Here is a 14,526-nt window from a genome sequence, read left to right as displayed (position 1 = left end):
GCAAAATATTTCCTAACATTTATCTAATGATATATACTGTGGAGAGCAATACATAATTATTTCTTTGGGCAGTTATTCATGGATTATACTATATTGGTAATAACTACCAGATATGGGACCAAATTATATATATCTTTACTTAAGCTACCTGATCACTACAGAGTAATTATCAAACTATCAATTTTATAGAAAATCCTAGTATTCAATTATTCTCTCATAATATTCCAACTTTCACATTTAATCTTGTATATAGAAACACTAACTATAAAAAATACTTGATTTTTAAAAATTGATATAGAATTTTATGATCTGCTAACCAAAACAAAACAAAAAAAAATGAAAAATGCCCCAAGCTAAGATTCCTTTACACTTTCAAAAATATATATTTGTTTTATTAAAAGTAATATGTGGTGTTGGAGTAAATATTCATAATTAATCTGAGAGAAATATTATACTCATTTGGTGTATTTTCTATATATACACACATATACTTCAGAGTTTCTATTATTCATTTCTTCTAAAATACATGTATTCTATTATATTTCTAGTCTATTAAAAAAACTCTGTTGCAGTAGAGAGGGAAGGTTCATTGATTCCTGATTTTTCTCTTACACAGCTTTTAAGTTTTCGTTATTCTCATGCAAGGGGAGTGGCTATTAGTATGTACTGAAAACTTAAATAATTACATGTGAAAAATAAAAGCTGGCAACTAGCAACCACCCACCTAGCAACAACCATGTTTCAAGTAAATTTTTAAATGGCTAGACTCATCCTTAAACTCCATATGAGTTTCTAGAAATAAAGGCAAGAGCTACTGCATATAAAGAGAAACAGGGAGGAAGTTGAAGATGAAAGTTAATATCTTTAGCTTGGACATGTGATTGTGTATCTTAAGTCTTTAATCTGACAATCAGATATAATTCAGGAAATAATTCATGAATGTGGAGAAATACTGGAATTAGATGTTGAGGTTTTCCTCCTAACAGAATACCAGTTTTGCCCATTATGAACCCTGGTCCATAGCTCTCAGTGGGAGCTGAGCCCGTCCTCATCTCCAACAGAGGGCTTCATTGGTCACCCAGTTCTAGCCAGTTAACTTCTAGGAAAGGTTCTCCTTAACTTGAGAAAGTTATTTCTTCCTCCTATTACAGAAGAACAGTTTTGGAAACGGAGTGACTAGCCATCACATTGGAATCATGTGAAAAGCAAGTCTCATATTAAAACTCAGCCTGTGAATATCAGAGTGGAGAGACAGGAGTAATCTAGGTATTTTATGAGAAGTCAGTTAAGCTTTTCCATAAACATACATCCATCTGAAAACCCACCCTATTCTTGAACTTCCTTTTATTTAACCTATTTCATTTCTTTATTGCTGAAACTATTTGGAATTAGAATTTCTGGTTATTTGTACCAAAAGCATACAAAATTATAGGTATAATCATAATATGAATCCATACAATTCAGATAAAGTTTCTTCTATTTAGGAAGGTAAAAACTTAAGTGCAGAAGTTTATTATTTAATTCTAGACAATAAAAATGTATAGAATTATTATTTTACTTTAGCCCATTATTACTGAAAATAATCTCAGTATTTATGTTTTCTTCACAAAGCTATTCTGTGCTTGCTATAATCATTATTCTCATCTGTTTAAAATTTTTGCTGAGGGAAGCATAAAATAAAATCTGTACTTATATATTTAAATAGAAAACACCACAAATATGATTGAAAACTGTGTGCAAAATATCGTCCTGACTTTTTAAAATCTATATTTAACTATAATTTTCCAAGCACATTTAAACAAAAGCAATTATATTTTCTATTAGATAGTGTGTTAGTCTGTTTTGTATTGCTATCAAGAGATACCTGAGGCTGGGTAATTTATAAAAGAAAGAGGTTTAATTGGTTCATGGTTCAGCAGGCTGTACCAGCATAGCACCAACATCTCCTCAGCTTCTGGTGAGGCCCTCAGAAATCATGGTGGAGGTGAAGTGGGAGGCAGGGTTTCACATGGCAAGAGAGGAAACGAGAGAGAAAGGAAGTACCACACTCTTTTAAACAGCCATATATCATGTGAACTCAGAGTGAGAACTCACTCATTACTGTGAAGATGGCACCAAGCCATTCATGAATGATCAGCCCTAGTGATCCAAACACCTTCCACTTGGCTCCAACTTCAACATTGGGGATTACATTTCCACATGGGATTTGGAGGGGACAAACATCCAAGCTATAGTATGTGCTTTCAGATGCTTGACAGAATCATGTATCATGCTAGGTTCTTGGAATAGAATGATAAATCCAGCATACTCTCAAGTACTTTACAATTGAATGCATATATGGGTTTCCATACAGATAATTAGTCACATAATGAAAAAGCCACTGAATTTTTTAAAATTTAGTCTATAAAATACATATCTTAATAATATTAAGGAGTTTTTGAGTTTTTTATTGTCAGGCAGTATATTTCTTTCTAAAAGCTATAAAATAATATGAAAAGACTTCGAAATGTTGTGAAAAATGGTATTAGATAAAAATTTTAAAAATTAGCTTTATTTCTCAACATAAACCTCATCAAGGTCAACACACTTTTACAAGCAATGATACCAACCATTTAGTCCATCTCTAAGGAAATGAGTGTCCTGGGACCTTACCCATGTCAATGCAGCCTTTTTACATTATTAACTGAAGAAAAATAAAGATTAGAAAACAAAAAGAAGTCAGAAAGAGGCAAATCAGAACTATAAGGTGGATGCCTAATGATTTTCTATTGATAATCTCAGAAATTACCCCTAATTTCATGAGAGGAATAAGCAGGAGCATTGTCATGGTGGAATAGTACTCTCTGGTGAAGCTTTCATGGGCATGTTTCTGCTAAAGCTTTGACTAACTTTCTTAAAACACTGTAATAATAGGGACATGTTATCCTTCTTTGGCCCTCCAGAAAGTCAAAAAGAAAAATGTCTTGAGCATCCCCCAGAAATCTTTTTTAATGACTCTATTAGTCCATTTTCATGCTGCTGATGAGGTCATAACTGAGACTGGGCAGTTTACAAAAGAAAGAGTTTTATTGGACTTACAGTTCCACATGGCTGGGGAGGCCTCACAATCATGGCCAAAGACAAGGAGCAAGTCACATATTACATAGATGGCAGCAGGCAAAGAGAGAGATTGTGCTGAGAAAAAGAGAGATGGCAGCAGGCAAAGAGAGAAACTCTTGTTTTTAAAACTATCAGATCTTGGAAGAACCATTCATAATCACAAGAACAGCACAGGAAAGACCTGTCCCCATGATTCAATCATCTCTCACCAGGTTCCTCCTACAACATGTGAGAATTATGGGCTACAAGATGAGATTTGGGTGAGGACACAGAGCCAAATCTTATCATTTCACACCTGGCCCTTCCCAAAACTCATATCTTCACATTTCAAAACCAATTGTGCCTTCCCAATAGTTCCCCAAAGTCTCAACTCATTTGAGCATTAACTCAAAAGTCCACAGTCCAAAGACTCATCTGAGACAAGGCAAGTCCCTCCCCACTATGAGCCTGTAAAAGCAAAAGCAAGTTAATTGCTTCCTAGATACAATAGGGGCTACAGGCATTGGGTAAAGACATCCATTCCAAATGGGAAAACTTGGCCAAAACCAAGTAGCTACAGGTCCCATGCAAGTCCAAAATCCAGCAGGGCAGTCAAATTTTAAAGCTCCAAAATGATCTCCTTTGACTCCATGTCTTACATCCAAGTCACACTGATGCAAGAAGTGGGTTCCCATTGTCTTGGGCACCTCCACAACTGTGGCTTTGCAGGGTACAGCTTCTCTCCTGGCTGCCTTCGTGGGCTGGCGTTGAGTGTCTGTGGCTTTTCCAGGTGCACAGTGCAAGCCGTCAGTGGATCTACCATTCTGAGTTCTGGAGAATGGTGGTCCTCTTCTCACAACTCCACTAGGCAGTGCCCCAGTAGGGACTCTGTGTCAGGGCTCCCACCCAACATTTCCCTTCTGCACTGCCGTGGCAGAAGTTCTCCATGAGGACATTGCCCCTATAGCAAACTCCTGCCTGGGCATCCAGATGTTTCCATATATCTTCTGAAATCTAGGCAGAGGTTCCCAAATCTCAATTCTTGACTTCTGTGCACCTGCAGGCTCAACACCACATGGAAGCTTCCAAGGCTTGGGGCTTCCACCCTCTGAAGCAATGGCTCAAGCTGTACCTTGGCCCCTTTTAGTCATGGCTGGAACAGCTGGAACATAGGACATCAAATCCCTAGACTGCACACAGCGGAAATACCCTTAGCCTGGCCCACAAAATCACATTTTCCTTCTAGGCCTCCAGGCCTGTAATGAGAGGGGCTGCCATGAAGACCTCTGACATGCCTTGGAGATATTTTCCCCATTATCTTGGGGGATTAACATTTGGCTTCTCATTACTTATGCAAATATCAGCAGCAGGCTTTAATTTCTCCTCAGAAAATGGGATTTTCTTTTCTATCGCATTGTCAGGGTGCAAATTTTCTGAACTTTTATGCTCTGCTTCACTTATAAAACTGAATGCCTTTAACAGCACCCAAGTCACCTCTTGAATGTTTTGCTGCTTAGAAATTTTTTCTGCCAGATATCCTAAATCATGTTCCTCAAGTGCAAAGTTCTACAATTCTCTGGGGCAGGGGCAAAATACCTCCAGTCTCTTTTCTAAAACATAACAAGGGTCACCTTTGCTCCATTTCCCAACAAGTTCCTAATCTCTGTCTTAGACCACCTTAGCCTGGATTTCATTGTCCATATCATTATCAGCATTTTGGTCAAAGCCATTCAACAAGTCTCTAGGGAATTCCAAACTTTCCCACATTTTCCTGTCTTCTTCTGAGCCCTCCAAACTGTTCCAACCTCTGCCTGTTGCCCAGTTCCAAAGTCAATTCCACATTTTCAGGTATCTTTTCAGCAGTGCCCACTCTACTGGTACCAATTTACTGCATTAATCTGTTTTCATGCTGCTGATAAAAACATACCTGAGACTGGGTGATTTACAAAAGAAAGAGGTTTATTGGACTTACAGTTCCACATGGCTGGAGAGGCCTCATAATCATGGTGGAAGGCAAGGAGGAGCAAGTCACCTCTTACATGGATGGCAGCAGGCAGAGATAGCTTGTGCAGGGCAACTCTTGTTTTTAAAATCATCAGATCTCATGAGACCCATTCACTATTGCAAGAACAGCACAGGAAAAACATTCAGTCATATCCCACTGGGTCCCTCCCACAACACATGGGAATTGTGGGAGCTACAAAATGAGATTTGGGTGGGGACACAGAGCCAAACGATATCAATGATGTTTGATCTTAACTGGTCCACTTTTGCTCCGACTAGACCACTTCCACCTCTTGATAGCCATTCCTTTGATTGTGCTTTGTGTTCAATATCATACTAGTGGAGCCATGTATCATCTCCTGTTACAACTCTTCAAAGATATACTTCAAGATCTTGTTCTTGTTTGTTTAAAATTGCAATTGAAAGCTCTGTTCTTGTCTACAGCTGATCTGGGCACAACAGTTTTGACATCCCCTGAGTGGAAAGTTTGCTCAACTTTAATTTTTCATTCAGAGTTGTGTAACCTGAACCAGCTGAGATGTCAATAGTGTTGGCTATTGTTTTTATTGTTAATTATTGGTCCTCTTCAGTTAGGACATGAATATGATTAATTTTTCCCTTGAAAATTGATATGGATGGTCAGTCACTAAGGACTTCATCTTCAACGTAGTCTTGTCCCTTCTTAAAACAAGTTTTTCACTTGTAAACTGTGAATTTCTTTGGGGCATTGTCCACATAATTTCTTTGTAAAGCATCAATGATTTTACCATTCTTTCACCCAAGCGTCATCGTAAATTTGATATTTGTTCTTGCTTCAATTTTAGCAGAATTCATGTTCCGATAGGGGCTGTTTTCAAACAGATGTCTTATCCTTCTTAGTAACTCAAATATATTCTGTTCAGACATGTCATGATGAGTGAAATTCATCCATAGTTTTTAAATAATACATATTTTATGTGAACTTTTTGAAGACCCCCTGTATGTAATTTTTTTTAATTTCATCAATATTGGGTATATTCTTCTTGTAATGTTTGTTTTTGAAAACATTTTATGCTCTTTCACAATTTGAATTTTAAATCAAACTGATACATGACTTTATTCTCAATTTGTTAAAATAAATGCCTGAAATCTTTAAAACAATTTCTTGTTGTTTAAAATGTTATTGTATTATGCTTTTAACATCACCATTGAAACGCTACATGGGGAAAAAAAATACGTCCCTATCATTTAACAACTGAAAAAATTAGAATGTCAAAATTGAAAGGACATTGTTATTTTTTCAGTCATTAACTTGTCCTTCACTAATGAAGTCAGTCCTTGATTAAACACACACACAAACACACACACATATACTCATGCTTTTATGTCTATAAAGTGCAAATGCTTCCTGGCACTATTTTGAACCTTATTTCCAGTGAAAAAAATTAATTTGAGGCTTGCTGGTTATTTATTTAGAAATTGTTGCAAGTTTGAAAATGTAGCAAAATGAGTAATTCTAAAGCATCATTAAAAATTCCAAATAAAGACAGCACACATAGGATATAAAATTTCTTGAAGTTTTAAAGTACAGATTCGAAAATGAATATTATCCTGTGATAGACAGCAAACTAAAACTCACATGGTTTTATAAATAATATTTTCTAGTAGTTATAAATAATACATAATTCGAAAGTTTTAAAAGAGAAAGAAAGCTTGTGTTGGGGACGTCATGAAAATAACAAAAGAAGAAAGGAACTGGAAGAAAGGCGATATTCAAATCCATTGTTTCAGGAATCATTAGCCAAGAACAATCAATCCAGTATTTATCAAGCAAAAAAAAATGATTTAATAATAATATAAAGTAGTTAACAACTTATTCAAAAATAAGCTAACTTGGTTTTATTAATCACATATTTACAAATTTAAGAAATTTAACTGTGGAGTATTTTGCTCAAAGTGTCTTCATTTTTTTCTGAAAATCTACAGCTAATTAGAATATCATTCAGAAGGTGAGAGTTGTTAAGAAACTCATATAATTTAGAGTGTTAATACAAAAGGTTAACAATTTCTATGCCTCTCAATAATCTCTAGCATTCCCTCACAAACCTCCCAAATTAAATTATTAACAATATTAATCATAATTTGTATCAATATCTTATATAAAGAAGAAATAAGTACATATTTAGAAAATGTGCCCTTTTCTGTTAACCTGTAACATAAAATCTAAGTAAAAGCAGTGTTGAAGAGTAATCATCTTGATTTCCTTGCCTTACAATGAGATTTTATCATGAAGCCATCAAATACAAAGAAATCATGAGAAAACTGCCATGACTATTCCAAAGGAAAGAAGTGCCTGGGCTTGAAAGAGGCAGGAAAGAGACGTATGAGTCATTAGAGAAAACATATGCTATGTTAATAATGTGAAACCTAGGTATTGAATATTTATTTCAACCTAAATTGTATTTTCTTTCTGACTCCACAGATTTCAGTTGTGTTCGTTATTATGGAGATTCTTATCTAGAATTTCAGAATGTGGCTTTAAATCCACAAAATAACATCTCCCTAGAATTTCAGACCTTCAGCTCCTATGGACTTCTGCTGTATGTCAAGCAAGACTCAAATTTAGTAGATGGATTTTTTATTCAATTGTTTATTGAAAATGGTACTTTAAAGGTAAGTTATTCAGTTCATTTAATTTTTTAAAAATTACAAAGTTGTTCTAATTATGTGCTTCATTGGTTATTTTCAAAATAAAATTTAAACTTAACTCTATATATTATACTCACCACCAGGATGTCTCTTCCTCTACTTTTATAATTTCTTTCTATGTATATATGAACCAACAACAACCAAGTATTTTTAAGCAAAAAAACTGATTTAATAATAATATAAAGTGGTTAACAACTTATTCAAAAAATAAGCTAACTGGATTTCATTAATCACATATTTATAAATTTAAAAAATATAATTGTCAGAGTATTTTGCTCAAAAGGTCTCTATTTTTTCTGGAAAATATACCTAATTAGAATATCATTCAGAAGACAAGAGAGTGTTCTTAAGAAGCTCATATACTATACGGAGAAAAATTTACATTCATACTGATAGATCAGTTTATATATATTTAGATATTAATATTTCAAACGGTACATGATTTGAATTAACATTCATTGTCTTTTTTTCTCCTTATTTTCAACTTTTCTTCTACTTCTTTATTGACCAGTTTCCCAATTTCTTAATTTCTCAATGATAATAATTGTTACCATTTTTATAACCTTAAGGGCAGGTAGAGTCTGGGAAACCCTAGGGAATCCCAAGATATTTTTAGAGGATCCTCAAGAGAAAACCTGTTTTTGTAAGTTTTCTGTAGGCAAGGGGTGTTATTTGCCTTATTCACTTTTACTCTCATAAGTGTATAGTAGAGTTTTCCAGAGGCTACATGACATGCAATTATATCCTTGCTCTAATCGCTAATGTATCATTTTATTATGTATTTTTGTATTTTAAAAATGTGTGTTGTAATTTTTAGCAATGTAAATATTGATAGACACAACTGAGTTAACAAAAACTCCTTGGGGTTCTCAATAAACGTTAAGAATGCAAAGAGACTGTGAGATCAAAAAGTTTGAGATTGCTGACTTTGCACTTGGTAAGTGTTATAAGAACCTTTCAAAAGTCCAAGGTTATGCAGCTAATAACATTTTGAAACCAACTTCATTTGAAAGTGCATGCTCTTTTCCCAACATCATTCTACCTTAACAAATTTTCTCATATCCCTGCTCTGAATACCTGGTTTAGGGAACTCATCCCAATCATCATTGCAATAACTCAGCACAATAAGGTAATTAACTTATATAATTCTAATATATGAAACATAATAACAGCATTTGGGCTACCATTTCTTTTATGATGTGATTTAAGTGTACATGTTGTGAATTTCCATGAAAGGATGAGTTATACCTTATTATTTAAATAGGCAAATTCCCTTAGTTTGACTTTCTTTAAATGCTCATGTTTCTGAAGTAATATAATATGTATATATATATAGCACCATGGCACTCCTGCCTGGGAGATAGAGCCAAAAAAAAAAGGAAAAAAAAGCTAGCCTTCATAGCCTTCATATATAATTATGTCCCAGGTATAATTCTGTGTGTTCCACTTTGATTGACTTATTTGCCCATTTATAATATTTACTTCACAATATTCATTCATTTACCAATTTAAATCACACAAAAATTTGTATTACCCCATTTTACAAGTGAGTAGATTTTAGCACAAAGCACATGTGAAGTCTCAAAACTTCCAAGTAACAGAGCTGAGTTTTGAACTCTGATCATCTAGCTGAAATGTAAATGATCTTAAATTTTCTTAAGATGGAGATTGACAAATTATTACAATTAAGTAAATAATAGTAATTATTGTAGACTTGTAAGTATATATCCTTTCTTTTTCATAAAACCAAAGGGAAAGAAATTCTATACCTCTATTCACTAGTTAGTTTTATGGTTCCTAAATATCTTCGTTTAACCTATTGTGAATTAATTTTTTTCCCATTTGATAGGGAAAGTAGTGGCTATCCATTAGTCTTAATAATACATTATTTCATAAAATATTTTCACCTACAATCCTACAAGTCTCCAATAATTCCTCCTAATGCTTCTTATTGGAGTTTTTAAAGTCAACTGACAATAAATAATCTTATAAAGGAAAGGAGTCTTTTGCAATGGCCCAAATATCATAAAAAGTTAAAATATATAGCATTATCTTTATCTTTGGACTATATGTGAGAGGATTTGGGTATATCAACTTAAATACAGCTAGGGGCACAAGTTATGAAACACAATGCAAGTGAGTTTCTTAACACATGTGGGTTATAGATCACTTTTAGATACAATAAAAATATTAAAGCCCCTCTCTGGGAAAGAATAGACACAATATAATCCATATACCTGTAGGCACATGCTTGCTAAGAAGCTTAATAAGCCAATGTAGCACATCCATGTATTTCCTGGGGATACTTGGTTAATCATACCTGATATAGACATGATTTTTCCTCTCTAGATCATAACTTAGTTGCCATTAACAGTAATTCTACAAATGAACCCAGACACCCTGACATCTCAAAAAACTTGGAATGAATGGTTAGTTTTCACAATCTTGAAGTTTGCCTTCCTGTGACATTAATATTGCCCTCTAGATTGTATTAACCATTCTTTGCCTTGCTCAATTGCTGTTATGTAAGGAAAATTCCTAAAATACTTGCTTTCTGCTAGTAGAGGATGTTGCTTTTCTCAACCATGTTCCTCAGAATACTGGAAAAGAATCTAGACATGTATGTGTACACATGTATGCATGTGTATTTATATCTATATAATACTCATATATTTGTATGTATTAAATCTAGGACATATCAGTTGTAAACCTTCAGTTATCACTTCTCTTTAAGTTTCAAACTTCATGTCTCTCCAAAGTGATGTAAAATATATTGATAAATAATAAAGTCCAGTGCAAATATATGGTATTAATTTCATGCTGAAAAACTGTTTGAGGACAAAATTTTTTCCCCCAACAGTACCACTTTTACTGTCCTGGTGAAGCAAAATTTAAAAGCATTAATACTACTGTTAGAGTGGACAACGGGCAAAAGTATACACTGCTTATCAGGTAAGATAATTATTTCTTTTCCAGTTAATCTCATTAAGTAGCAAAGGCTATCCCTAACAATATTGTACTTGTCATTTCAAAATTGAGGTTATACTGATTAGTATTAACATGTGCATGTGTATGAATTAATGTTTGTCAAGCTTTTCTATATATTCTAAAAAATGTACTGAGAAAAGAATATTATAGGGATTACATTATCAATGAACTCACATAAGGAGATTTACAAAAGATCCATAAAAGCCTCATATTTTTCTCATATGGCTGTTGTAACAAATCAACTAAACTGGTAATTTCTTTTGATGAACAAAGTAAATTATATTCAGTGTAGAAAATGTGGCACTTCCAGAAAAGCATAAAGAAGGAAATTAAAATGGCCCACCACAATCCAGATTGAGTAATTAAGGTATATTATTAATATTTTCAAAAGCTATGTTTTAAGGTGACCCTATCCCCAAATGCTCATGAACATCTGAAATAAATCAGTTTGCCAATCTGATAAGTAAACTTTTCCTTTTTCTCATTTGATTTTTAGTAAATTTTAATTTTTAATATAGATGTAATGCTTTTTTGTTATGTGCCTTACCTCCCTCCACCTTTTTTATTTCTTTGAGTGATGCTGAAAACACATACCACAGCCATAAGCTGGTATGTAGATTAAATTATTTTCTGGCAATAGATTATTTAGTAAAAGGAAACATCTGTTTAAAGCCAATAAAAAGGAAAAAAAAAAAAAAAGGAAGAAGAAGAAGTCCTAAACAGAGACTGGGAAAAAAGTTAAATGAGAGGTTTTAAGGAAGTTCTATCTTCCTTAGGCCAGAACTACCCAAATTCTATTATCTAGAATACAGATTCTTACAAATGATTGACCAAAAAATAATGTATCATCAAATAAATTGAGGAAAGCCTACATCATATCTACTCCCCACCCAGAATACTCAAAATGAACATGAACATTTTAAGAACTCTGAGATGCTATTTAATAAATCATCTTTTTTCTTTTTTTTCTTAATGCTTAGTGTCACTATACTTAAAAGTGCCATGACACAGACACACATTTAATATCTTTCTCATCATTTTAATCTCCTAAATAACAAATGCTGGGGGCAGTACACTTTGGAAAATGCCATCTCAGTCGAGGTAATAATTTCCCTGGGCAGGGATGACCATCATCTGTAGGGAAGCAAGTGCATGAGCCTTGGGTGGCAGTAAGAATCAAATCATGAAGGACATAGATGGGCTCCTGAATAAAGCAGAATGACAGATTGGTATCATGAAGAGACAGAGGGAAAACCCACAGAAGCTGTTCTGGCCTCAGGCATGGCTGAAAAAGAGTAAAAAAATACATTTTTAAAAAATCATAATTATAGTTTCTTCAACAGGAATTTATATCAAGTACTAATTGTATTACATATATGAATGTATTCCTATAAACAATTATAATTATCTATACTTTTCAGATGCAAAACTGAGAGACAGGGAGATTAAGTACAGATAATGACATAACTAGAAAATGACACAATCTCAAGGCTGCTTTCACTCCAAAATCTGTAAGTTTGAAGCTACAGGCCCCATGAACCATGCTAGAGAAATGTAATATGAATTGAATTCCTGTTTTCCCCCACCAGGAAAGAACTGCTGTATGTTCAAGATCAGGTAAAGATAAGAGTTATAAATGATGTGTCCAGTAAAAATACTAGCAGAAGAAACAACAATATTAATTAACACACACTAAACAATTAACATGTACCATATGCTTTACACACACATAACTACATCTAATCATCGTAAAACTTATAATGCCTATTTTACTAGGATGCTGGGCTGCCATAACAAAGTGGCAGACAAGGTGGCTCAAACAACAGAAATTAATTTTCTCACTATTCTACAGGCAATTTAATCTCACAATTGCAATTTAGTCTCACAATTCTGAGATCAAAATGACAACAGGTTTGATTTCTTTTGAGGTCTCCTTTTGCTTGTAGATGGCTGTATTCTCTCTGTGTCTTCATATCATCTACCCTTTGTATGTGTCTATCTCCTAATTTCCTCTTGTAATAAGATCACCAGACACATTGGATTAAAGCCTACCATAATGACCTCATTTTAGCTTATTACTTCTCTGAAGACCCTATTTCCAAATATAGTCACATTCTCAGGTACTGATGGCTAGGGCATCAACATATGAATTTTGAGTGAAACACAATTCAACCCATAGCAGTCATTTTGCATATTTGAAAGCTGAGACTCATAGAAGCTGGACAACTTTCTCTATCACATTGCTAGTCAGTAAGGGAGCAAGATTAGAACCCAGATCTCCTGCCCCTTGACCTGATCATTGTTTTTACTAAACATGGACAGTCTGTATTTTTAAAGTAACAAAACACTAGTCTTCTTTAAAAGAAACATTAGATGTTTAAGATTTTTTAAATCCCAAGAATACATATTTTTCACTATCTTTATTACAAAATGTCACTTTTAAGAATACTTAACCAAAAAATCACTTTCTTTTAAGTTATATGACTATAATTTTGTTTCAATTTACATACACCATTGCTTCTTATTTTTATCAAAAATTAGTTGATACCCTGTCTATATCTGATCTAAATAATCTAAACTCAGAAATATTTCTTCTCAGGTTTTTGGTTTGTTTGAAGTAATAAAAAATTTATAGAAATATATTTTGTCCATGATTATCATCTATAAAGTACAAAAGTGAAGCTCCATTAATTTTATTTTTCAGTATCTTTAAAATATAGTCCTGGGGAAAAAAAGTCAAAAACACGAATTATGAGTTGAACACAATTCATGAATGTTGCAGCTAAAATTTTTTGACCATTTACATATTCTTCTAATAAAAGTAAATGGTGTGCACACAATTCACCCCCAGTTTTACCCTCTTTTATTTTGTTATTGTTGAAATATGGCTTTCTTCTTGAATATGAATATAGGAGAAAGGTCTTGCCTTACGTACCCTTATAGAACTGGGAAGAAAAAGGACAGCAAAATTGTGCTAGGCCCATGATGATCTATCTCAGAAAAAGCGAAACAAATATGCTCTGTGAAAAAGTAACCTGGCTCATTATTTTTGAGAACAAGGAAAGACAAGCTGTTCTGCAGAGCAGGATGGTCCTTTTGAAAAAGAAATGTGTGATTGCTTAAAATAACAAAAGCAGGAAGGAAAATATGGAGTGCTTAAAATCAGGTGAAATACAGTTTGGCATAATAAAGATACTAAAAGCACACATACTAAAAATTATTTTAGTGAGAAATTAACTATAGCTGGTGCTCATATTTTAATGAAAGGGACAGTCAAAATGGGACAAAGCAGTAAAGTTAGAAGGCAGAAAAATAGCATAGAGTATGTCATGAAGCAAAATGCAAATGGGTGAGCATTTGTCACTCCACTATTGAACACCACCAGGTAGAACATTAAGGTAGAAGGTGCTGCTGAGAAGCTGAAGATAGTGGCACATGTATTTTCTGTAAAGCACAAATATGAGAGTCTGATGTTATATTTTATTCATGTCTGTTGGTATAGTTATAATTATGCATGTGTATTGTATTAAGTTTTTAATATACTATATACTACTTATAATCATTGCATATATTACACTATAATATATATTACATTATAATTATATACTAAAACATAATTATATTAACATAATAATTGAGTTTGCCTTTAATAACAAGTGTATTATGGGCCTTTTTCCATTTAAAGTCACCGCTTAAATTCTACCTTGTCCTTGAAGAAGGGTAGAATTTGGGATTAAAAGAGAGTTAAGTTAGGCTTTTCTGACCTCC

At 33.6% G+C, this 14,526-nt stretch overlaps 1 protein-coding gene across 2 annotated transcripts in view; it reads left to right on the top strand.

Annotated features, from left to right (window-relative positions):
• The window catches only part of EYS (eyes shut homolog), a 1,987,247-nt gene that overhangs the window by 1,260,331 nt on the left and 712,390 nt on the right, over nucleotides 1-14,526 (top strand). For both annotated transcript variants that reach the window (NM_001142800.2, NM_001292009.2), the window contains exons 27-28: nucleotides 7,544-7,734; nucleotides 10,631-10,722. In NM_001142800.2, the coding sequence (NP_001136272.1) occupies nucleotides 7,544-7,734; nucleotides 10,631-10,722 (283 nt within the window). The remainder of the gene's footprint in view (nucleotides 1-7,543; nucleotides 7,735-10,630; nucleotides 10,723-14,526) is intronic.

This window comes from Homo sapiens, chromosome 6, assembly GCF_000001405.40.
Source record: "Homo sapiens chromosome 6, GRCh38.p14 Primary Assembly".
In the NCBI taxonomy this organism is placed as follows: domain Eukaryota; kingdom Metazoa; phylum Chordata; class Mammalia; order Primates; family Hominidae; genus Homo; species Homo sapiens.
Note: the sequence above shows the minus strand (reverse complement) of the source record. Positions and strands in the feature narration are given on the sequence as shown.